The following is a 24,602-nucleotide window of genomic DNA, read 5'->3' on the forward strand; positions in this document are numbered from 1 at the left end:
TCCCTGAGCAGGGAGAGTGTCCTCCAGGGGCTTCCTGAGACAGCAGGACCAGCAGAGACAGTAGAAGCATGGGCCAGGCCTCAAGTCCCTCTGGGACATCAAAACCAGAGCCAGGAAAGCTGAGTGGAGAACTCCAGGTTCCAGGAGGGGTGAACAATAGGTGAGGCCAGCACTGAGGTCTGAGACCATGCTCAGTGAGCTGCAGAAGTTTCCAGAAGCCACGTGCAAAGAGTGGGCTGCACACGGGCTTTGAGGCCATGCAGACCCAGCTGTGTCCCTTACTAGCCACACAGCCCTAAGTAAGCTAGTGAGCCTCTCTGAACCTCAGTCTCCTCGTCTTTCAGTGGAAGGCGAATAATCCCTGCCTGGCACTCCTCAGATCCAGTGAGCTAGGCCAGGCCCTGGAGCTTGAAGGCAGGCCTCAGGAGATGGCCTTCATGCTAAGGACAGGAACACAAGGCAGAGAGGGGACTCGGGAGAGCGGCAGTGGCTGAGGCTGACCTTCGTAGTAGAAGGGCACCCTCCTGGCCTCCCCTGCCTGCTGCCAGCCCAAGCCTCAGGGACACCCATGTTCCAGTCGCCTCCTGCCCTGAAGGAGGGGCAGCTGGCCATGGTCCCAGGAGACCCAGCATGCCTGCAGCGCTCCAGTCTGGCCAGCTTCATGCTTGCGCAAGAGCCGGAAGGTGGGCCCCATCCATTCAGGTCCACCTCCAGGTGAAGGCCAGCAGGGACCCGGCCACATCCACAGGCTCACCCCCAGCACCCTGAAACCCTCTTCTGTCTCCCCACTACAGGCCTCTCCCTGTCCTTAGCCGGGGCTGCTCTTCCTGCCCTGGTGCCCTAGGGGCCAGCACCTTCCAGGCAGTCTTCTCAACACCACTGTCCCACCTGACAGCAAAGAAGCGGACAGAGGGTCAGCGACCGGCCCAGTCACACAGAGACTCGGAGAGCCCATGAGACCCTCCAAGCCTGGGCACGCAGCCCGCAGGGTGTTTTGTGGGTAATGGGTAGTGATGCGGCCCTGAGAACCCACAGATCTGCCTATTATGATGAATGCTTCCGTGTGACAGTAGAGACATCCACAGGGGGAGCTTCAGAGCAGCACATAAGATGTATAATTTAAAGAGAGCATGTGTGAAAAAAAAAAAAATCTCTAAAATTCCTTTAATCCCCCATAGAGTAGGGTGTATAACACTGGCTAATCATCATCTTTACAAACATCCAAGTCCAAGGCCCACCGATGTGAGACTGAGTGAAGAAACAGAAGACTGCTCCACGGACACTGAGACCTCCCTGGAATTCCATCAGGGGGTCGGATGGAGACCCCGCGGGGCCGGGGAATGAGGAAGGGTCCACCTCACTCCTGACACAGCCACCCTAAGTCTTCACAATTAAAGGCTTTGTTGGTCGAGACGAGGATTAAAGTGTGTTCATGATGGGATGCTATCGTGTCCTCTGATGTCACAGAATCTTCCAGATCCAGCTTCTCTCCCTGCCAGGCCTCCACCATCCCAGCCACACCTCTCACGCCGTCCCCACCTCCCCCCCACAGCAGGGGTCCCCATGGGGTGGGTCGTTGTGCTCCCCCGGGCTTCAGGCCGTACCAGGGCTCCTTGTGTTTCCCAAACAACGCTGGGCTGTGCGCCGGCACGTGGCACGCAGATGTGCAAGGGGCCGGCCAGAGCACTGCCTCCCTGTGCCCACTGCAGCTGGCTTCCTAAGCTCCTCATCAGTCCCCAGGGTAGACACAGCCCTCCCCCGACGGAGGCCCCAGCCAGCTACCCTCCGCAGGGCAGCGTCCAGGCCAGTACAGAGCAGTGTGTGTTTGCTTCCAAGTGGCTCCCTCAGCCCCTAAACAGGGATCTGAGAAAGAATTCTCTGGAGGTCCCAGAGTTCACAGAGCCCAGCTGGGGGAAGATAAGATTCGGGAGCCACTGCCCACCTCAGCCTGTGTCCCAGCTACAGGACTTGGGGGAGTCAGGAAGGTCCTGGAGCAGCTCCAGCGCGGCTGGGCTCAGCCAGCATCCCCAAGCCCTCGCTGCACCTCCCTGGACATCAGTCCCCACAGGTGGCCTGAGCACCCAAGTCCCTGTGCTCCCAGTGGGTCTAGGGGGCAGGGACGGCCCTCCTACGTGGACCCCCTCTGGCACCCCTCAGCCATCAATTCGGGGGGCGACCTTCACTCAATAGTCAGGGATGCCCATTTTGAGCAAAACCTTGGGTGGGCCATGGGGACAAGAAGGAATCAGACTTGCCCCACCTCAGTGACAGACAAACAGCAATGACAGCCCTGCAGCCTGGAAAGCTACAGACGGACCCTAGGAAGAAGAGCTGGGATGCCCTGGAGACCCAGGATGGCTTCCAGAAGGGCCTGTGCCAGGTGTGCAGTACTCTGGGGGAGGGGCAAGCAGGCCCCCATGGGCTCTCAGAGCAGGGGCAGAAGGCAGCGATGCTACTGTGACCAGCGCCAGGTGGGCCCAGGAGGGGCTGTGCACCTGGGTCCTTGGAGAGCAGGTGACAGCAGGCTGATCTACACCCTCTCCTAGGGCCCCCCACCCCATAAGAAGGGGTGGGAGGTTCACTTCTTTAAAGACTAAATCACCTGCCATCCTTGTCCCTTGTAGTGCTGGGCCCACTAGGCTTGGGGCTCACAGAATCAGAGGCAAGAAAAAGCTCCACCTCCAGGCTTCCCACGCCCCATTCTCTCTCTCCTTTCCCAGGGCCCCCAAGCCCACTGCAGCCTCCTGAATTCACTCCCCCAACAACAGTGACCTTCACCCCATTCCTTCCTGGTCCCCACACCCTGCCATCCCCACACACCAATCAAATCCAGAACTGGCTGCCTTAGCCCCAGCCTTGAACAAGACCTTAAAACCACCACCCCAACTACCAGCCCTGGCCCCTGAAAAGCCAGCCACCCCACCAAACCTGAGCCCGGGGGCAGACAGAGGCCCAGCTCAGGACTGCTCCACACCCACAGCCCAGCAGCCACCTGGCAGCCCGCAGCACTGGCTATCTTTAGCCCTGGACTCTCTGCCCAACCCCTCTGTCCAAGGAGCAGTGAGTGACTGTTTGCCCAGAGTCAGAGACCCAGAGAGGATGACTCTGAGGGACAGTGGAGACAGCAACACTGTGGTTTCAGCCCTGGGGCCAGGCCACACAGAGTCTCAGCTCCCAACTGTGCTTCCCTCACTCTGCCAAAGCTCAGCCTGTTTTTTGTTTGTTTGTTTGTTTTGAGACCGGAGTCTTGCTCTGTAGCCCAGGCTGGAGTCCAGTGGCATGATCTCGGCCCACCGCAACCTCTGCCTCCCAGGTTCAAGAGATTCTTCTGCCCCAGCCTCCCGAGTAGCTAGGACTACAGGCACACACCACCACGCCTGGCTAATTTTTGTATTTTTAGTAGAGGCGGGGTTTCACCATATTGGCCAGGCTGGTCTCAAACTCCTGACCTCATGATCTGCCTGCCTTGGCCCCCCAAAGTGCTGGGATTACAGGCGTGAGCTACAGTGCCCGGCCAGCTCAGCCTGTTCTAAGGGGCCCCCACCACCTCCACCCCTAACCTGTCTCCCCAGCCTAGCCAGCTGCCCTCAGGACAAGGGATCAGCTCCAGAGAGGAAACTCGATAGTGAACCAAAGGCCACAGAGCCTGGATTTCAATCCCCAACACCCACACCAGCTACATAGCCTTGGAAGATGTGCTTAACTTCTCTGAGCCTCAAGTGCCTCATCTGCAAAATGAGAATATCAGCCCCATCTCAAGGATTGCATAGATCTCTGTCAAACACAGCAGCTCTGGCCCATGGCCACAGCAACTCCCTAAAGGTCCTTCAGAGCAACCCACAGCCTGATGAAGCCAGCTGAGTAGGGACATGCCCTGGGGCTTCCCAGAGATGGAATCAGAACCTAAGACCAGGTTTCTTGTTCAAGCCTCTATTCTGCAGGTGAGGAAACTGAGGCCCAAGAAGCTCTGGGAAGGAATTGCCCAGAGCCACAGAGGCAGTAGATATCCCTGCCACAGGGTCTACCTGGGCCTTGAAACTCCTCCCATAACTGGCCTAAAGGACAATCAGCTAAGGGGGCTCCCCAATCCCTGTCCAGGGAAGCCTGTCAGGCTGAGCCCCTCTGGCAAGCCAAGGCCAACTTGGCCCTGGGGCCTCTCCCCTCTGCTCCCAGCCCTCTCCCAGAATGCTCCCAGCCCTCCCAGCTGCTCCCAGCCCTCTCCCAGAATGCTCCCCGGCCCTCTCCCAGAATGCTCCCAGCCCTCCCAGCTGCCCCCCACCACCCTCTCCCAGAATGCTCCCGGCCCTCCCAGCTGCCCCCCCCACCGCCCTCTCCCAGAATGCTCCCCGGCCCTCTCCCAGAATGCTCCCAGTTGTTCCCTGGCCCTCTCCCAGAATGCTCCCAGCCCTCCCAGCTGCCCCCAACCGCCCTCTCCCAGAATGCTCCCAGCCCTCCCAGTTGCTCCTGGTCCTGTCCCAGAATGCTCCCAGCTCTCCCAGCTGCTCCCCAGCCCTCTCCCAAATGCTCCCGGCCCTCTCCCAGCTACTCCCGGCCCTCGCAGCTGCTCCCAGTCCTCTCCCAGCTACTCCCAGGCCCTCCCAGCTGCTCCCCAGCCCTCCCAGCTGCCCTCAGCCCTCTCTCAAATGCTCCCAGGCCAATTGGAGATGGCTGCGGATGCCTCCCCACAGCCCAGCCTTGAGCCTGCCACACAGCCAGGCACACACCATGCTCAGCAGATGCCCAAATCAAACCCAGCCTGCTCCGCCCCCATGCTAACCGCTGCAGATGCCACTCTCCTGGCAAGAAGCTTCTATAGCTCCCACTTGCCCCTGACATGCAAAGTTTCCCCAAGTCTGGCCACAATCTATTGCCTGCTCCTATCCCACCCTCCCCCTCCCCCTCCCCCAACTACCGTTTCTATGTCTCCTACCAAGAACCTAAAGCATACATACCCCATCCCTCTTCCTTCCCAGCATGCATTGCCAGTGCTCCCTCCTCTAGGAAGTCTTACATGATCTTGTCAGCCCACACTGATTACCCTCCTCCAAGCTCTCGTACTCCACAAATTCAGCTCGTGCCATTTTTCACCTGGCAGCCGAATTTTCACAAACTCCCTAAGGCCAAGGGCCACCCACACTCACCAGCTGCTTGTTGAAATTCTGGACGCACTGCTCAAACTGCTCATCCTTGGTCTCATCTGCCTTCCCCAGCTTCTGGAGAACCTGCCGAAGCCAAGAGAGAAGGGGAGAGTGTTACCTTGGAAAGGAGAGTGGTCAAACCAAGAGTGCTCAGTCACCAACAGCACAGACCAGGGGCTGGGAAGTCTCTAGCCAACATCACCCAGCCCAGGGTGCCCACCCAGGGCTGCAATCCCAGGGCATGGCTGGGTCCATCAGGTTTTCAGGCCTCCCCACCCTCTACCCAGGGCTCGACAATAGGCCAAAAATGGAGCTTAGGACAGGCTTGACGTAGTGACCACAGCCAGGAGGAGGGAGGCTTCAAAGATGGCAAGAAGGATCGGGCACCCTCCTAGCTGATCTCACACTGCACCCCTGGGTGCTCCGCCCCCACCCTGGAAGCTGAAAAGTGAGCCACGCAGGGGAGGGGCCAAGCAGGAGCAGCCTCACTTCTCCGCATGACTCTATTCCCTGGGCCCAGGCCCATGAATGCCACAGGCAACAGCAGAGCAGGCCCTGAACCGGCAGGAGCCATCCCGGAACAAGGAGGGCAGCGAGCGGTGGCCAGGAGCTGCCGGGGGCCACGCAGAGTCTGCTTCTGATCTGACTGGGTTTTTAGATGTGACCTGCCCCAGGCACTCTGCTCTGCACAGCCCACACACACACACACACACACAAAACACACAAGGGCACACACATGAGCTCACAGCTCTGCTCCCAACCATGAGTCTCAGAGGTGGACTCCCCCTCAACCCCCCACGATGAGTGGCAGGGGGAGATGAAGGATGGGTGGGCAAGGGCAGAGAAGAGGAGCCACACCAGGAGAGGGGAAAGCTCTAGGAAAGGAGGGCGCTGGCCAGGACCCTGAGAACATATGCTGACCATCACGCTCTCCCAGACTTCCCTCTCTGGGCCCTGCTCCTCCAATCCCAGAGCTCCACATGACGGAGAGAGAGGTGGGAGCAGGGAGACAAAATACAGAGGCAAGGAGCGGTGGTGGGGCACGGTAGGAAAGAGCAGGAGAAGAAAAAGACAAAGAGCTGGGGCACAGAAAAGGGATGAGGAGTGCCAGATGGGTTTGCAGGAGAGCAGAGGGGAAGACCAGGGTGGCGGCGGGACACACCCGTCTGCAGCCAAAGAGGCACCTCCATCAGGGCGGCAGAAAGGCCAACACTGATGTCTCAGCAGAGGCCTCTCCCAGGCAGTGGGCAAGACCTCACAAGAATGAGAAGGAAACGGGGGTAGGGGATGGGAGTGGAAAGCAAAGGGAGAAAAAGGTGGGCCCAGGAGCGGTGGGGAGCCCCAGGAGCAAAGGGCCAGCCCAGCATCTGCTGAGGCCAGTAGGTCTGCAGACATCCCTCCCTTCCAAGACCCGGAGCCAGCCCATGCTGCCAGGAACATCAGCTTTGGGGCCCAGGGCCCAGGCCACGGTCCTGGACCAACGGATGCCTGGTACCAGGACACAGCCAGGACCCTTCCCACCCTGCCGGCCCTTGCAGGTCCTGTGCTGCCCTGCTGCACTTCCCCCCCCAGCCAGGCCCAGAAGCCTTGGCAAGGCCAGCTGCTCTTGGCCATCTCTCACCAAGCACTTGCTCTGTGCCTGGCCTTGGGCACCTTGGCCGGTACAGCAGAGAGGAATCAGATGTGGGTCTCTGTCCTGACATGGGGGAACACTTAAGGCTGTGGGACCCTGGGGGTAGAGATCTCTTCTAGCCTGGGCAGTCAGTGAGACTTCCTGGAGTGGGTGGCAGCTCAGACAGAGGGGAGAGGTTGCAACAAAGGTAAGGAGACCAGAAAGATGGAGCATCTTACTGGGGAGTTTTGAATTGCTCAAGGTGACTAGAGGTCACAGAGGATGGAGTGGGAAAGTGAGAGTGGCAGCAGGGGGCAGGTGGGCACCGGGAGGCAGCCACCGATGATGTTGTGCTACAGCGGTCGGGACACAGCCCCTTGGGCAACTGCAGCTGGATGCCAAGGGCTGACACAGGGATGAGAGAAAAACCAAAACAAAACCCCCACATGAGCAAGAAAATGTACACTGCACAACTTGCAGGCTCCCCACTGCTGCCCCTCCCTGGCAGCCACATCCAGAAGGGACCCCCCAGAAAGTGGGCTGAGCTGGGGAGGTTCCTCACCCGGCTCTGCAAAGAGCTTGGGTAGGTGACTCAGCCCCTCTGCTCAGGCACCCACCCCACAGCCCCACCCCCTCCAAAGAGAGGAATAGACCACCACATAGAAAAGAACTCCCAGAAGTCTACCAGAGCCACCAGAGAGAGCCAGAAGCTCTCAGAAACAGGGCAGGGACTGCCCAGCTCCCAAGGCAAGAGCACCAGGAAGGATGCCCCTTCCACGCCCTGCCCTCCCTCTCCCCAGGAAGACAGACACACTCAGCCAGCAAAAGGTCCCCAGTCTTCCCCACCCACACTGGCCACCAGGGCTCCTGAGGTGTACAGAGACAGACACACACTCGACCCAGTTCCCAAACACTGCTGTGTGCTCTGCACAGACAGCTGGAGAACTGGGGAGATCTTCCAGCCTTGAGAACGAGACACCAGCCCAGGTGAGACTCCACGCAGCAGTGAGAAGACCCTTGGGAAAAGGGACAGCTACTCTCTGAGCCTCAATCTACAAAATGAAGTGAACACTGGCACCCTCCTCAAGGATTACAAAGATCATGTCTATAAAGTGCAGAGCAGTACCTGGCCCATGATATTCAAGAAATGGCAAATCCCTAAAAGGCCTTCAGAGCAGCCTTCACACAGGTGGGGGATGGGCCTGACTGACACCGCCAGCCCTCACACCGGGTCCAGGCTGACGGCATCCCAAGATGTGAGACAGAAGTCACAGACGCGCACACTCTACCTGCACATGGCAAACTCCTATGCATCCTTCAAAACCTCACTCAGGTGACATCACTGTGAACTGTCCCTGATCTCTCCTTTCCTCAAAACACTCTGTACCACTTAGAGCTTTCCTCACTGCTATGTGATGTGCCTGTGTGCCTCACACCCTCACCCTGAAGGAACAGCTTGAGGTCAGGGACACTGTTCCAGTCATCTCTGTGTCCCCAACACCCACACAGGGCTAAGCACAGGACAGACACACAAGATATTCTCAGCGGCTGCTGCTCATCTGAGCTGTGGGCTTTGAGGGCAGAGACATGACCCTAAACAAAACAACCCACCTCTCAGCCTCAGGCTCCTCCCAGACAAAATGGAAGGGTAATGTACAGAAAGCCCTCAGCCCTGAGGGGTGACAGCAAGCCTGAGGCTGAGCCAGTCTCCCCACTCTGCGAGACCTCAGGCTGCTGAAGCTCTCAGTGCTCCAGTGCCCCCGCCTTGGAAATGGGAGGAATAACAAGGCCACAGCATGGCCGAGGCCCAGGGAAGACCCATGGGCGAGGCTGGCCTTGGCCACATGCCATCCTCACTGCACCTACCCCCATTTCATCCATGAGGGAACGCAGGCAAGTGGCCTGGGGTCCCCATCCTCAAGGAGCTCCTGGTGTGGCTACCACAGGGAAAAACAATCTGGGCACCCCCTGCCCCAGAACAGGAGCTGGGACAAGGCCGTGAGCCCTGGGACACAGATCTCCCACCCCATCCGTTCCACACTTGGTTAGTGGGGCCTCCCCTGTGCCGAGCTCACAGGCAGACCACTGAGGGACACAGGGGACTCCAGGTGTCCAGGAGGGGCTGGCCCAGCAGCGACTAAGGAAAGCTGGGCAGGACAGTTGTGCTGGGTTTTGAAGGATGAGCAGGAGTTGGGTGAGGAGGAGGGTCTGGCGGCACAGGCCAGGATTTGCACTCTGTCCAGGGTTACTGGGTGAGGGCCCCTTAGACAATCAGTTCCACCTACACTCATCACACACTTATCACGCACACTCACTCTGTGATAAACAAAGGGGAGCCTTTGAAAACTTGGCGGCGGACGAGACACACAGAGGCCCAGGCGGCAGAGGCAGCCACAGAGCCAACAGTCCCAGGAGCTTTATCAGTGCCACACCCAATCACCTCCTATCAGAGCTTCCTCTCACCATGTCCTCAACCCAAGGCCAGATGTGAGTGGAGCTGAAGTGCCTTGGAGGGGACACCCCAGGGCAGGGCAGGGAGGGGGGGCAGGTGGCAGGAATGACAAAGTGTGAACCCGTGGCCAGCTCCAGAACCTCCTCCTGCAATCATCCACAGGGTTCAGCCTCGCTGGGCCTCGGCTGTGGAAGGAAACCCTCCCAAGGCTCCTCCCTAGAAAGGCTGGGTGGTTCACTGAGTTGACGCCATGCCTCCGGCACCCGGGTCCACAGGGGCTCAGTGGGAGCATCCCGTGGGTGGGTGCCCCTCCCCAGCCCTCCGCCAAGGCCTTTGTCATGGCCCAGTGAGAGGGCAGAAGGCCCTGGCGTCAGCCGCTCCCTGTGGGTACAGGGAGTCCTGCCACCCTCCAACAGCCCCCGCATGGCAGGCAAGGCCCTGACCCACAGCGTGAGTCATGGGGCACAGGCAGTGCACGGCCACCGAACCCAGAAGGAGGAAGGGTGCCCAGGCCTGTCTTGTTTGAGCCAGGAGCAGCTCACCACGTACAGCACCCACCCACCATGCACGCACTTCAAGTCACCAGGGCCGCCTCCTCAGAAGGGAAGTGTCCTTATGTGACAGATGGCAGGTGAGCACAAACAAATCAGGACACAGCCTGACACCGTCCAGTCAGGAGGGGCCAGGAGCTCTAGCCGCCACAGTGAGGAGGGCCGGGTCTTCGGGCTCACCCGGCTGGGCCCCAGCAGCCCCTCCTGGGGTCTCTGATCCCTCCCTCGGCCCCAGAGACCAGTGGGCCTGCTGCACTTGCGGGACACACACCCACAGTCTGAATGGCATGGCCCAGGGCAGGGATAAGCACTTCCCAAGGCCATCAGAAGGACCAGCCCAGGGGCCCAGGAGGGAAGCCTAAGGAAGGAGGGGTGAGGGCCGCGTTCCCAGTCACTCTGGTCCTGGCCAGGGCCAGGCAGAAAGCTAGGGGCTCCTCCACCAGCCAGCGGCACCCCTCGTCCCTGCAGTGGCAGCAGAGTTCCCAACACCCCACCCCCACACACACATGGAAGGGGGACCTCATCCAGCAAATCTCCCTCCCAGGCACCCACCACCCAGCTGCTGAGACCCCAGAAAACGCATAAGGCCCTCACCTTCCGCATCATCTCCTCCCCACCTGCCTGCACAGGAAGGGCGGGCTGAGAAGTGAGCCCTGTCTCGCCCCTTCCTCCCAGCAGAGCCTGCGGTCGGGGGCCACGGAGGCAGGATGCACACCCTCGTGCCCCGGCGTTCTCACACCGAGGCTCCCCAGGCAGGCAGACACAGACAGAGGACAGGCAGGCGGGCAGGGGGAAGGCCACTGTCAGACACCCGGCCAGGCTTTCTCTGGGCCCAGTCCCGAGGGAGACACCCCAAGAGGCGAAAGGGAGGAGGGCCCCTAGAACAGGACAAAGGCGAGCCTTCTCCCCACCCCCGCCCCCCACCTCTGGGTCCAGGCTCGCTCACTGACTCCCGGGGGCTGTCCCTCTGTCAATCTTTCCTTGCCCCTCCTCCTCCGTCGTCTCCCACACACAGCTCGGGTCAGCCAAGCTGGGGAGCTGTGGATGATGACACAGGGCTGGCCTCGGGGATCTTTCCGCCCTCATGCTCCAGGGGCCCCTGCAGGGGAGACAGAGGGCAGGATGGCCAGCTGAAGGCCTCCGTGGTCACAAGCTCTGAGGCCTTGCAGGCACTCAGCTGGGGATACCAGGGACATCGCAGGACAAGTCTGCACCGAGACCAGGGTTGGCGTGGGCAGGCCATGGTGGGCGCCCAGGCAGGGGAAGGGGTACAAGGCCCTCTGCCTCCCCTCTCCTGCCCCAAGATGCTGCCTGCTGTCTGACACATCAGGCTGGGGTGGCAGTGGTGAAAGGGGTACAATGGGAGTCTTAAACCCCCAGGGGCAGAGGGAGCCAGTCTGAGGACAGTCCCGCAGATCCCATAGTCACCTAGTTCCCCAGCACACAACCCCTCCTCCAAGCCCATCTCTCAAATGCGAGCTGTCCCTGCAACCAGACACACAGGACCCCTCTCCCGGCTGCTGCTCACACCTCCCCATCCCCACTCCGACAGTGGAGCCACCTAAGCCTGCTCCCCACCTCTGGGTGGAGAGTCTCGGTGGCCTCCAACAATCTAGGTGCCATGCAGGAGGCCACAGCAGCCCTGACGAGAGAGCAGAGGGAGGAAAAGAGGTTCTAAGCCCACCACTCACCTCCACATTTCATGTGGCCCTCTCACCTCCTTATTTTCAAAGTATAAACCTCAAAGAAAGTGGAAAGGATACTACAGGGACTATCATCTACCCTTCACCCAGATTCACCAATCAACTGTTACCACTTGGCCACACTCATTTGCTTTTTTCTTTTTTTTTTTTTCTTTTTTTTTGCTTTTCTCTTTTCTTGCTATGTCGTCCAAGCTAGAGTACATGGCGCAATCATGGCTCACAGTAGCCTAGACTTTCTGAGCTTAAACGATCCGCCCACCTCAGCGTCCCGAGTAGCTGGGACTACAGGCCACTGCACCTAGCTAGTATTTTTACTTTTTGTAGAGACAGGGCCTCGCTATGTTGCCCAGTTTTGTCTGGAACTCCTAGCCTCAAGTGATCCTCCCACCTCAGCACCCTCAAGGTGCTGGGATTGCAGGTACAAGCCACCGTGCCCAGTCACTTTTCTCTATATATAAACCGTTCCTGCATTTGTATGTTTGCCCAGCCAACAGAAGGTAAGCAGCAGAAGGGTCACTGGGATGACCTTCGCTCCACAATACTTCACCCCTAAATACTCCAACAGATTTCCTAAGAACAAGAACATGCTCCAAAATGCCCATGATACCATAAGCACCCCCAATACATCCAAAATGTATTTTAAAATACCATCTACCACACGGTCCGCATTCAAATATCCTTGGGTGCCCCCCAAATGCCCTTTATGTCTGGGTCTAGGATCCAACTGTGGTTCACATATTGCTTCTGATTGTCGGGTCTCTTGTTCCTTTAGTCCAGAATATTCCCCGTATGCCTATTTATCAATGTTATCCATTTTTTTTCTTTCGTGATACTGGTATCTTTTTAAGAGTGCAAACCAATCACTTGGAGAATGCCCCACACTCTGGATCCATCTGATTGTTTCCTTGTGAGGAAGTTCAGGTTAAAGGCTGCTTTGGCAAGAGTCCTGCAGAGGGAGGCTGAGCCTTCCCACCGCACCACAGCTGTGTTAGGCTTGACCGCCGGGTCTGAGTCGTGTTTGCCAGATCTCTTGGAAAGGAAGGTCACTTTTCTCTTAGTCATCTGCAGGACAATCACGGTCACTGTGGCAAGGCAAAAAGTTGTTGAAATTTTTGCACAGTGCCTTTACTATCCATCATTCTTTGCTATTCAGTGTGAGGTCTGTGGGCAGCTGCATGACAGTCTTCCAAGAGCCTGGAGGAGAAAAAAAACTGCAGACCTGCTGAACCAGAGTGTTCCCTTTAACAAGTCCCCCTGGCGCACCGTATGCGCAGTGAAGTCTGAGAAGCACTGCAATAGCATCTTGGCTGGAACCCGCTGTTACCCAATCTCCTCCACGTGACCCGGCATTCCACAAACACGAGCCTCCCCTGGTCTTGCCTTTGCGAGGAGGGTGGTGAGGATATCGTGAGTCCTTCGTTTTGCGTTCGTGATTCATTTTGATGCTCAAACATCCCAAGTGCGACCAGTGGGAGGTTTCGGACACGTCCTCATTCATCTCCAGGCGCTTCCTTACTTTCTGGCACTAGCAGATTCTCCAGGCTCAGCCTGCACTGTCCCTGCCCCAGCCCTGGCATCAGCCATTTCTCCAAGGAACCCTGATTTCCTTCGGTGGAGAGGCATGCTCATTGCTCTTAGGCATTTCAGCGTTCCCTCATGCTCAGAGCCGCAGATTATTACCCCTGCTTTAGAGATAAGAAAGGAAAGGCTGCGGCACTGAAGGATTTGGCTCTGCAGCGAAGAAGCGACCGAGCTCAGATTCTGTGGCTTTGTGGTGGTGGTGAACAAGCATCATCACTCAGGTCTGTCTGCTTCAAGAAGTGAGAAAGGAGACAGACCCATGGCCTAGCAGCTGCCCTCTGAGCCCATTGCAGTGTTCCTTAGGAGGCCACACTGACTGTGGGCTGTGGCACCTGCCCCAGGCTGGTGACTGCACAAGGGGCAGCTTCCTGGTCTCATCCAGCCCAGGGAAACTCTCTTCCTCCTCAGAACCCAGTGAAGTCACACGTACAGAGGCGTCTTCAGAGCAGCAGTGCTTAACCCAGAAGCTAGCAGTCTCCTGGTGACGATTGAGGCCTTGTTCTCCCTCCATCCCCCGCCCCGCCCCACCCCAGAGCTGCTGCTTCACCCTCAGGTTGGGAGGGGAGGGCACCCAGACCTGCAGCCAAGGACAGAGGGGCTAGAATGAGGGTCCCAGACTCCTTGGGAAAGCTACGGGCAGCTGGGCCCCTTGCAGCAGCCCCAGCTGTGGCTGCAAAGGGGAGAAGTGGCCCAGGTTCCTGCTGGAGAGCAGAGCCCAGGGGCACCGGGAAGTGAGTCCCAGGAAGCAAGCCCAGAACACACAGCACACTTCTTAGCGGCTAGCCACCCTTCAGGCTATGCCTTCCAACTTCTCAAAGGCACAATGACTTTAAAGATAAGTGCATTCCATCTGGAGGCAAGAACGCTCCCCAGCCCTCAGGGCCCCACACAGCAGCACAAGCTCGGCCATGTACATGCAGCAAGCACCTCCAGTGTGAGATGACGCCCACACACGCTCACACACACCCTCCCTGGCAGAGCCACCTGTTCATGGCCCTCCTGGGCACAGTAGGAAAGTGGAGGAACCACGAAGAAGCCACAGAGACAAGCAAGAGGCAGAGGGAGGCCCGGGGAGAGCCCATAATGAGGAAGGAGCCCGAAAGAAAACCAGAGATGGGGAAACCAAGAGCGAGCCCAGGGTGGCCAGACGCACCCCCAGCAGGAAGGGCCCAGCACCTCTGGGGGAATGGGGTCCTCCCCCTCAGCTCACACCCTCAGGGCTGCTCCGAAAGGGGGAGCTGAGCCAGGCCTCAGCCCCCTTCCCTAGCTCCTCTGTGCCCCCATACCTGGGGCCCCCATGTCCCCTGGGCTGGATATGAGGTGGTGGCAGGAGGGGCTGGCTCTAGGGACAGGCATCTGTCAACCTGCCCTCCCTCGAGGGAGATGCTGCCAGCTCAGCTCTCACTTCAGAGGGGACTCCCTCCCCATCAAATTCCTTCCCTATGGAGCCCAGTTGAGGCCCCCACATGTGCCCCTCTAGGTAAGCTCCACAAAGCTCACAGTGCAAAGCATGACCACCAGGGAATCTCTCCTCCAAGGACTCACCTTGGGGGACACATCACCCTTGAACCCCCTCCCGTTGGGTTCATATCCCTAGGCCACCCTGAGGTGATGACCGTTGGTCCTATTTTACAGATGAAGAAATCGAGGGTCAGGGCGGTCACTCAGCTAATGAGCTCTAGAGCCAGGATGCCACACCTGATCAGTTCCAAAGCCCAGACTCAACTTTTGACTCCCAAACTGGGGCACACAGACACTGGGGGGAGCGGGCGTGTGTCTGGAGCTTGCTGAAGAAGATTCACACTCCATCTTGCTTTGATCCAAAGATCGAACTGGTAAAGAAAACACTTTTGTGACATAACCAACATAGACAGCTTGTGGATTAGAACGCAAAGCTGACAAAGATTTTCACGATGAAATACAAAACCGGGAAGACATTCCTCCCAGGAAGGCCTGGCCTCGCCCCCACATGGTAATCCATCTTTTTTTCTTTTTTTTTTTTTTAAGACAGAATCTCGCTCTGTTGCCCAGGCTGGAGTGCAGTGGTGCAATCTCGGCTCACCGCAACCTCTGCCTCCCCGGTTCAAGCAATTCCCCTGCCTCAGCCTCCAGAGTCGCTGGGACTACAGGCGCACGTCACCACGCCTGGCTAATTTTTGAATTTTTAGTAGAGATGGGGTTTCACCATGCTGGCCAGGCTGGTTTCGAACCCCTGACCTCGTGATCCACCCGCCTCGACCTCCCAAAGTGCTAGGATTATAGGCATGAGCCACCGCGTCCAGACAGTGATCCGTCTTTTTAACAAGTCCATGACCCCCAGGAAGCGCCTGGCCTCACCCCCACATGGCGATCCACCTTTTTGACAAGCCCCCATGCTCCGTCCCCTGACACCAGTCCACAAAGACTCATCACACTTTTCCGTGGTCCCCTGCTCAGAAAGGCTGACTGAGGAAGCTGCCTGGCCTCTCTTGGGAGGCCGTCACTCTAAAATGATGATCTCCTTCCTCTTTTTGGTGATTTTCCCTTTCCTTTGTGAAATACTGGTGAGAGCAAAAAGTGGTGTTGGGTTTTCTCTTTTACATCCTTAACTGACAATAAAAACTTGACCAACTACGTCAGCCCCACCACAATGCTTTGATGGTCAAAAACGAAAACACAGAGAGCCCTCCCAGCCCGGCCGGCCCCTGGAGGTCCTGTCTGCATCAGAGCTGGCAGCCCAGCCCCGCCCCTGAGAAAGAAGGGGGAGGGGAAGGAAGTTGCAGGGTCTCCTCCTCCACACTCATCTCTGCAGCTGGAAGGGAAGGCTCCCGCCCCAGAGAACGAGTGTCCAGTTGACTCCAGGCCAGGAAGGCCCCCTCCCCGTCCTCTCTCTCATCCCTCCCAGGGTGCCTGAAATTCCAGCCGGTTCTGTAGATAAGCCTATGGCCTGCAGCCAGGGTGGTGCCACGTGGACCCCAGAGGAAGCCAGGGTGGGCTGCGGTGGCCTGGGGAGCCCCGAGCAGAGCACACAGCGTGAGTGGAGGCAGCAGGGGCCAGAGTCAGGCTGGGAGGGGGCTGGGGTGAGCACTCTCACAGTGGCCGGCGGGGCTGGACCAGCCAAGGGCAGTGCAGGACGGACGGCAGAGCAGGAACCGCTCATCCAAAGACCACATGTGCTCCAAATCCTGGCAGGGGAGGGAGGCGTTTCACAGTGAGGAAACCGAGAGTCCCATGTCAGTAAGCAATGAGCTAGAATCCGCACACGGCCCACCGCTACCAAGCCCTTGGATTTTATCAGCCACCCCACCACCTTCCAACCAGGAGGGCTGGAGGACCCCCTGGATCATGACTGGCTCCCCTCCCCTCGGGACCATCCCCCAAGCTGAGTCTATTCTTAGCCATCAGCAGAACCAGGTGTCCACCAGCAAACAGAGGAGTTTCTAGAAGGGCTACGCCCACCCAGACCATCATCAAGCGCCCAGCCAGCTGCCCAGGCCTCACCCTCCAGCTTCTTCCCCACCCAGCCAGCACTTAGTGGAAGAAAGGAACCTTCCACCAGACCCACCACTGTGAAGAGTCCCCACCCCGGCTCTGGGACGTGGCCTCTCGGCTGTAGGGCCTGGTGGCTGTGGTGGTCACACTGTGGGTGAGCTGGCCAGACGCAGGAGGGATCTTCTCATAACTCAGTTCCTTGAGAGGGGTGCCAAGAGCAGGACAGGCACAGAATCAGAGCCTCCCCTGCCAACGCCCACCCAAAAACGAAGGTGGCTTCCTCTTCTGCACTATCACCTCACAACAGGCATTTGAAGACTCAGCAACGTGCCCTGGTGGCAGTGTGCCTGGCCATGCTCTATGGGAAGCCAAGCAAGGTCTCTGCCCTGGAGGAGCCAGCACTCTAGGAGGGAGGCAATGTTGAAAGGTGCTGTGAGCCTCCGAACAAAAATGCAGCAGGGGGACGGGTGCGGTGGCTCACACCTGTAATCCCAGCACTTTGGGAGGCTGAGGGGGGCAAATCACCTAAGGTCAGGAGTTCCAGACCAGCCTGGGCAACATAGTGAGATCCTACCCCTACCAAAAATAGTTTTTAATTAGCTGAGTGTGATGGTGTGCACCTATAGTCCTAGCTACTGGGGAGGCTAGGGCAGGAGGATGCCTTGAGTTCAGGAGTTCAAAAAATGCAGTGATCCAGGACCGCACCACTGCACTCCAGCCAGGGCGACAGAGCAAGACCGTATCTCTTAAAAAAAAAAAAAAAGAGAGACACTGAAGGGCTGGGGGTGAGGGGAGAGGGCGGCTGCTCTTAGGAAGGAACTCAGGGAAGTGACAGCTGAGCAGAGACCTGATGAAGGAGCAAGACACCAGGCCAGGAAGGAAGAAGAAGGTAGAACTCACTGGACAGAGAACTCAGTGAGTGCAAAGGCCCTGAGGTGGACGGGAGGGATGCCACAGGACAGCAAGACCGGCGTGGCTGAGAGTGGCAGGGGGCAGGGAGGACCAGGAGGCCCTGAAACACCAGGTGCCAGGCTTCATGCTGAGCCCTTGGGCATGATTCCATAGCCTCATGGTGGACCCCTCCATAACCTCATGAAGGAAATACTATTATATTCTCACTTTGCAGGTGAGGAAACTGAGGCACTGCCTTAACAACTCCCCAGGGTCACGCAGCCAGGCCCAGGATCCCAACCCCAGGCCTGGGTCCATCGGTGAGGAGCTTTAACCACTGCACATGCGGCCTCGGCCCCCAGGACCACAGAGGCCCCTGGAAGACTCTGGCCCTTAAAACCCAGCATGGAACGTGGAACCCTGGAAAGCTCTGAGCCAAGACTTGATTTTGCAGCCTGCAAAGCTCCCAGGCTGGCGCGTGTACACACTTCAGGAGCGCAGTGGGGCAGGGTGCCTGTTCAGAAGCTGACTGCACTGACCCAGGTGGGAGGCAAGGGGACTCTGTGATCTGAGCTACTAGAGGGAAGGGGTGGTCATCACCTGAGATGGGGACACGTGTTGGGGTAACAGCTGGGGGTCACAGTGAGTTTGCAGTGCCCAGAGATGTCCAGGAGGAAGGTGCAGACACAATGGCCAGGAACCCTGGGGTGGACTGGACACACCCCACCGTCAGGTTTCTATCACACCCCGGCCCCACCCACCTGCCCCTCAGTCCCTCCCACTGCCCACTCTGGATGACCAGCTCAGGGCATCTAGTCTGGGCAGCTGGCCAGGAACCCCTTCTGGTAGGAGACACTGCTGGGGCAGAAGGTGCTGGGAGCAGGCCCAGGCTGTGCAGCCCTGGGCAAGTAAGCTCACCTCCCTGACCTGCTGGGTCTCATCACTTAGAGCCAAGAACTCCCTCAAGGGTGTTTAAAGGTGAAGTATGATCATGTAGGTAAGAGGGCCCAGCAGAGCCGCTAGCACTGGATTCCCCCCTGCTCCCCCCACCCAGGGCTGAAAGTTCCTGCAGTCTTCCCACCCTAGTCCCCAACGCCCTACTCCCCCAACCCCCAGCTCACATAAGCCTTCCCCGCACCTGCCGCCCAGTGCACCTGCTCCTGCGGCTCACAGTCCACTGCAGCATGGCCAGTTCCTTGGAACAGCATATACCAACCACCCCCCTTCCTCTCTCCAATCAAGCTCCCCTCTGCAGCCTCCTTGCCTGCAGCTCTGCAAGGACCCTGCAAGCCACCCCATTACGCTGGGCCCCTTTGGGAAAAGGGTAAACCGACAAGAGGCCCCATGGAAATCAACCAAACAGCTGAAGACAGTGGCCATCGCAGCAAGGCCAGCCTGGTGCAACCCGCTGTGGCCACATGAGGAGCCCTGATGGGCCTTGCTACTACTCCACATCCCAGTGCCACCCCCGCAGGCAGGCAGCAAGGGCATGGCCGCGGGGCATCAGTGACACAGGGCGACCCTCCACCACTTCAGTTGTGCTGGGTGGGGCTCGCTGAGGACAGCCTGTCTCCACAGGCACGCACCCCACCCTTGGCCCCAGCCCTCCGCCCATCTGTCCCTCCACACAAGTGCGGGTGCTATTCTCAGCCCAGCTCCAGGACACTGGCCATAAACACACGGTGGAATCTGCTTCTCCAGCCCACCCGCCTCCCACCCTCATCACCTGCTTCCTGAGCTCAGTGGGGGAACAGCCTGTGCTGGGAGGAGCAGAGCACCAGCCCAGCCCCAGCCAGGGCACAGCTGTGGGTGGGGGGCGGTGGCAGCTCCCCAGCAGCCAGGGCAGGGGAGGGGGAAGGTCTGGCCAGCACCCACCTGCCTTGGGGCCAAGTGAAGGTCTGAGCTGGGTGGGAAGGCAACAGCCACGGGTCGCCACACACTCCCACAGTCTTCATTAGGAAACTTTGCCTCCCTAGCAATGCCAGGCTATGCTGGCCCTTCACATCACCTCCTCCAGGCAGCCTTCCCCGACTCCACTCCAGGCACAGGAGCTGACTTGTTCTTCTGGATGCCTTCAGGTTCTTACACGTCTGTTCCTGTCTGAGAAGCTCAACCTATACATGCAACCAGGCTATTCATTCCTTAATCAAAGTCCTCGGTTTCTATATCCATGACACTGGAACTAGTAAATGGTGCCTACGGGAGGTATGTGTTTATCTCAAACACATCATTGGTATTACTTCAAACAGTATTGTTGTCATTTCTGCTATTCAAAGGAGTGAATGCCCAGAGTCAGCTTTAGATAGCGCCCACCCAGAAGTGCCCACTGAGGCACCAACAGGCACCCCACGCAGCACAGTACTGAGGAGGCTGCCCTCACCCCAGCCCCGGGGCATTCTCAGGCCTTCCTCTACCCAGTGCTGTTCTAGGGGCTTCCCTGCCTCACCCTGGCCTGTCCAGCATGCCCTGCCCCTCCACACAAGTGTGAGTGCTGTTCTCAGCCACAGGGGCTCCCCATCTTTGCCGATGCAGAAACAAAAGCCAAGGCTGGCAGGTTCTGAGTCCCAGAGAAGAGGAGAATGGACCTACTTCGAGTCCAAGGCTGATTCCACTGTATTTGGCCCCAGAAGTAGGAAATCAAGGCTGGAGGAAAGTTGGGAAGGAACCAGAAGGGGACGAGGTGTTTGATCAACAGGTATTCAGATCAAGAATAAGGGTTGGCTGACCGGGCGTGGTGGTTCATGCCTATAATCCCAGCACTTTGGGAGGCCAAGGTGGGAGGATTGCTTGAGGCCAGGAGTTCAAGACCAGCCTGGGCAATGTAAGGAGACCCCATTTCTACAAAAAAAAAATTTTTTTTTTAATTAGCCAGGTGTGGTGGCATACACCTGTGGTCCCAGATACCCGGGAGGCTGAAGCAGGAGAATCGCTTGAGCCCAGGAGTTGGAGGCTGCAGCAAGCTATGATTGTGCCATTACACTCAGCCTGGGTAACAGAGCAAGACCCTGTCTCAGAAAAACAACAAAAGAATAGGGGCTGGTGGGTGGGGGGAATGGAACGGAGAGCCAGAGGGGACAAGAACATGCGGAGGGAGTCACGTGGCTACCCCTGCCCTACCCCATGGCCCCTACCTTTGGCCCTGCCCCTAGCCTTGCCCCTTCCCCAGGCTCTTGGCCCAGCTCTCCGCCTGGCCCCTACCCCACATACCACCCTCCACCACACCCCTACACCCACCTCTACCCCCTGTCCCTGCCCCTGCCCCAGGCCCTGGCAGGTGGAATGAATGTTCAGGGGAGCAGAGGGGCTCCGGGCTTCCTCCCCCTAACCCTGCCCGTCCTGTGCTGTGTGGTAAGGAGGAGTGGAATGACATAAATGTGAAGGGCTAGAGGGACATGGATGTGGGGGACAAATGCACTGCCCCTCCCCACCCGATTAAGGATGTCAGCACACAGTGGGACAGAAGTGGACATAGCCCAGCCCCACCCTAATGGGCTGTGTGACTTCAGCAGGTGCCATCCCTCCCTGGGCATAATCCAGGTCCCACTAACCTTAGAGGGAGGTAACAGGAGCAACAGGGCCCACAGAGGCTGACCGCTGCTCAGCTGGCTGCCCCGTGTGGGAGGCAGTGCTGCTGACTAAAGGCCCCAAACACCTGCCCGCAGTCCCTAGCACCACCAGGCTCAGCCCTGAGGCCAGCCACCAGCTCAGGGGCATGCTGCAGGGGGCAGCAAGGGCCTCCCACTGACCCGCAGCCCCGGGCAAGTCACCAGCCTTCCAGAGGATCCACCCTGCAGTCCCAGTCATCATCTAGAAAGGTCCCCAGAGTGTGCCCAGGTTCCTTCACTAACACATCCAGTCCTCCTCCAAAGCTCCCGGGGAAGGGCCAACACAGTGCAGTGCACTTGGGAAGGGGAGGCAGGGACCCCATGAAGGAGAGAGGACAGAGGTCCCAGAAGCCACAGCCCACGCCTGCACCCCCTGTGCCCGAAAGGAAGAGGAGCTCCTCCTGCACTGTCCCCTCCTCCCCAAGGGCTCTCTCCATCAAGAGCAGCACAGTTCAACAGTAAGGGGCTGAGCAGACAGACAGAGGGGCCAATCCCTCTAAAAAAAAAAAAAAATCCCAGGAGGGAGCCAAAGGAGTGGGGCACAGCCTGGGGGCCCCCCCACAGATGCCAGGTCAGCCCCCAGCCACCCCCACGCTAGGGCTGTCCACAGAGAGAGGGGTCAGGGAGGGAGGGCGGAAGGGGAAGTGGGGGCTTACAGTATCACCTGGAGCCTGGCCCCCACAAGGCCCTGTCGGGGCTCAGAACACAGCACCCCAAAGTGTGGTGCTGTGGCTCACTGCAGACTCTGAACAAAGGGCATGTGAAAGGCCTCAGAGGTAAGCTCTCTGTGACCTTCTCCTGCCCTTCTGTCTCTCTCCCCTCTTTTTCCCTGCCCAGGTGAGTCATCAAAACTGGAATTTTTCTTTCCCAAGGTGAAGCATAAAGACCAAAACCCCTTTTCCCCAAAGCCAGCCATGAAACCCAGATAGTTCACTCTCTCCCACTCCCTTCACCCCTGAAGACCCTCATTCCACAGGGGTCCTGCGCTGTATGTGGGAGGAAGCCACACAACACAGAGAGGCCGGAAAGAAGCCGAGCCGACAAGCCTTGCTGGGTTCCCCCTCGGACTATCACCATTAGGTCACACCCGTTGTCCCATCATATGTCTACACGGCTGTCCATTCCTCACCAACTTATGTCTGAAAACAGACAGTTCTCTCTGGTCCTTGCATCTTCATCGTTGAAGGCTCCCGTGTCATGTAAAACATTGATTAAAGAAATGTGATGCTTTGCTCTTGGAAACCTGTCTTTCGTTAGAGCGGTGTCAGCTGTGGCCCTTATGATGGGTGAGAACGATACCACACGTTTCCGCCCCTGCCGCTCTCTCTGGACAATCCCCTCCCCTTCCTTCCTTCCCAAGGCCTCAAGCCCTACCATCTGGATCCTGAGCTAGGCCTGGACTCCCTGGACTCCTCCAGTGCTGGGGGCCCCAGGCCTAAACTCAGACAGGACGGCCCTAGAGGATACACACGGAGGGCATGGGTGCAGCTAGACACCCCCCACTGGCCTAAGGCCCTGCTCCCTGCCCTGGAGCAGGGCTGGTCCACGAGCCGGCACCCCGACCTTCAGGGTCCTCGTGTGTGAAATGGAGACACCTGTTCTCCCGTTTAATCCTCATGACAACCCTCCCACACAGGATACTATCCCACCTCACAAAAGGGGACACTGAAACTTGGAGGGGGAGTAACTTGTCCAAGGTCAAAGCACTGAGGAAGAGCAGAGCTAGGATTTGAACCTGGGGCTCTGAGACTTGAAAATCATATTCTTTCCACCTTGCTGCATTGTGTAAGGTGCTTTGCAAAGCCTTATACAAAGGCTTTTATCCTCCGAAGCCTCACATGCCAATTCACTTGGCACTGTGTGCCTACTATGTGCCAGAAGCCAGGAACACAGGCACGATGGGTCTAGCCTCCCCCTTCAGGATTGAGACCAGCAAACAGGGTTTGCTGTTAGCCCGTTTTATGGAAGTCAAAAGGAGATGAGGAGGGAGAGCAGGAGCAGGAACCTGGGGGGGTCCCGCTGCCTGCTAGCCAGGAGGCCAGTGCAACCTGGGAGCTCCGGTCCCTCTGTCTCTCCCCGCATGGCTCAGGCACACAGTCTAAGCACTGGAGTGGCGCGGAGCCGACTGCAGACTATGGGGAAGGCCTCCCTAGTCTCTCGCAGTGCAGCAGGCAGGGTGACCCGCAAGTGCAGTGGCACAAAGCCGGACGCTGGCATCAGGTTCTGTCCTTGCTGTGATCAGGGCTCCCACAGTGCTGACTCAGCTCCCCCCGCCCAGCCCTGCAGCCCACACCCATTCCTCAGGGAGGCTTCTGAAGTTGGCCCCAGGCCAGAACAGCCCAGGATCAACAGACCCTGCCCACCAGCCCCCGGGTGGTGCTGCCCCGAATGCCCTCAGGAAAGGACCCCCTCAATTGGGGAGGTTGACCCCCTCAACCATGGGGCCTCCTCCAGGCCCATGGTTCACCAGACCAGGAGAACAGGGTGGGCGGGTCAACTCGGGGAAGGCGGTGACATTCCAGCTCAGCCAGGCTGCCTTCCAGGACAGGCTGCTTCACTGAGTCCTTGCAGGGAGAGGGGACACAAATAAATAAACTCCTGGCTTGGTTTATATTTCAGAAAAAGAACAAGATTTGGGTCCTGTCCCAGGTTCAGCAAATGCATCCAATTAATTGTGGATTCTGTTTCTCAGTTTAGAACAAGAGTCAGCTCATTCCTCGTCCTGGAGTCCCCTCCCAAGCCACTAACATCCCCCAGGATCCCTGCAACTCTTTCTTTGTGGGAGGTGGGAGGTATGCTTCTCAGGAGCACAGTCAGGCCAGCTTCATTCAAATCTGATCCTCCTAGGTCCCTGGATTCCTGTCGGTACCCAGGTCCCCTGCACCATGCCTCCCTGGCGGGGTCACTGGTGGATCCCGGAGTATGGAAATCCCAAGGTGAAGGGCCTGGCTCTGTGGGTTCACCTTCCCTTTGGTGTGCCAGCCTCCTGGAGCCACCCAGGGGCCCCACTCCCACCCCCAAACATATGCCAGGTGTTCCCCAACAAAGGCAGCCCCCACACTGATTTTCATTTGAAGACAATGAAGACATCTGCACCTTAACAGTCCCTTCCAAGCTCTTCTTACCACCTCCTTCCCACTCCCTGGACTCAGGGATGGGGGTGGCAGCACCTGGGAAAGGCCAACTTGGGGCCAAGTCTGAGGCCCAAGAGGAAGGGAATCCCAGAGTTTCTCCAGCCTCTGTTCTCATCTGCCAGATGGGGCCATGGTTTGGTCCCACCTACCTCACAGGGCACAGAGAGAAACAAATGGAAAGCGGCGGGTGTGATGGTTCTTAGTAAATTACATAATGCAACAGAGGTGCAATGGCTCTGCCCCCCTGAACCTTCCAGACCCAGCCGGACCCAGCAGGAACTCAGCTGCTGCCATTCTCACTTACAGGAGTCGGGAGTTCACCTTGTTTTGCTGAGAGAGGAGTCTCCCACTTCCCGGTCCCCAGGTGGGTACACTGAGGCTTGGTGGCCCACCTGGAGCCTGTGGTCTTCCGCTACATAGCAGGTTCCTCCAGTGAGCAAGTGAGTGAATGAATAAATGATGCC

General features: G+C 58.2%; 1 protein-coding gene across 16 annotated transcripts in view, besides 8 other annotated features; it reads right to left on the reverse strand.

Annotated features, from left to right (window-relative positions):
• Positions 1 to 24,602, reverse strand: part of BIN1 (bridging integrator 1) — a 59,132-nt gene that overhangs the window by 23,462 nt on the left and 11,068 nt on the right. For 14 of the 16 annotated variants that reach the window (NM_139351.3, NM_139350.3, NM_139349.3 and 11 more), the window contains exon 2: positions 5,142 to 5,222. In NM_139351.3, the coding sequence (NP_647601.1) occupies positions 5,142 to 5,222 (81 nt within the window). Of the gene's footprint in view, positions 1 to 5,141; positions 5,223 to 10,347; positions 10,582 to 12,104; positions 13,067 to 24,602 lie in introns of those variants that run through there. The other 2 variants (NM_001320642.1, NM_001320634.1) reach the window with 2 other exon arrangements.
• Positions 9,521 to 9,750: an enhancer, noted in NCBI's record as "active region_16481". NCBI's record gives its function as "activates an Ori minimal core promoter by ATAC-STARR-seq in GM12878 lymphoblastoid cells {active_cell/tissue: GM12878}" and the evidence as "EXISTENCE:reporter gene assay evidence [ECO:0000049][PMID:35858748]".
• Positions 10,071 to 10,200: an enhancer, noted in NCBI's record as "active region_16482". NCBI's record gives its function as "activates an Ori minimal core promoter by ATAC-STARR-seq in GM12878 lymphoblastoid cells {active_cell/tissue: GM12878}" and the evidence as "EXISTENCE:reporter gene assay evidence [ECO:0000049][PMID:35858748]".
• Positions 10,771 to 10,830: an enhancer, noted in NCBI's record as "active region_16483". NCBI's record gives its function as "activates an Ori minimal core promoter by ATAC-STARR-seq in GM12878 lymphoblastoid cells {active_cell/tissue: GM12878}" and the evidence as "EXISTENCE:reporter gene assay evidence [ECO:0000049][PMID:35858748]".
• Positions 10,871 to 11,070: an enhancer, noted in NCBI's record as "active region_16484". NCBI's record gives its function as "activates an Ori minimal core promoter by ATAC-STARR-seq in GM12878 lymphoblastoid cells {active_cell/tissue: GM12878}" and the evidence as "EXISTENCE:reporter gene assay evidence [ECO:0000049][PMID:35858748]".
• Positions 13,543 to 13,682: an enhancer, noted in NCBI's record as "active region_16485". NCBI's record gives its function as "activates an Ori minimal core promoter by ATAC-STARR-seq in GM12878 lymphoblastoid cells {active_cell/tissue: GM12878}" and the evidence as "EXISTENCE:reporter gene assay evidence [ECO:0000049][PMID:35858748]".
• Positions 15,090 to 16,067: an enhancer, noted in NCBI's record as "H3K27ac-H3K4me1 hESC enhancer chr2:127844150-127845127 (GRCh37/hg19 assembly coordinates)". NCBI's record gives its function as "activates a minimal SCP1, AML or CMV promoter by ChIP-STARR-seq in naive and primed H9 embryonic stem cells {active_cell/tissue: H9 hESC(naive and primed)}" and the evidence as "EXISTENCE:reporter gene assay evidence [ECO:0000049][PMID:30033119]".
• Positions 20,662 to 20,829: a silencer, noted in NCBI's record as "fragment chr2:127849722-127849889 (GRCh37/hg19 assembly coordinates)". NCBI's record gives its function as "represses an EF-1alpha promoter that drives an FKBP-Casp9 reporter gene in an ReSE screen in phorbol 12-myristate 13-acetate-treated (for megakaryocytic differentiation) K562 erythroleukemia cells {active_cell/tissue: K562(+PMA)}" and the evidence as "EXISTENCE:reporter gene assay evidence [ECO:0000049][PMID:32094911]".
• Positions 23,913 to 24,584: an enhancer, noted in NCBI's record as "H3K27ac-H3K4me1 hESC enhancer chr2:127852973-127853644 (GRCh37/hg19 assembly coordinates)". NCBI's record gives its function as "activates a minimal SCP1, AML or CMV promoter by ChIP-STARR-seq in primed H9 embryonic stem cells {active_cell/tissue: H9 hESC(primed)}" and the evidence as "EXISTENCE:reporter gene assay evidence [ECO:0000049][PMID:30033119]".

This window comes from Homo sapiens, chromosome 2 (genome assembly GCF_000001405.40).
Source record: "Homo sapiens chromosome 2, GRCh38.p14 Primary Assembly".
NCBI classification, from domain to species: Eukaryota; Metazoa; Chordata; class Mammalia; order Primates; family Hominidae; genus Homo; species Homo sapiens.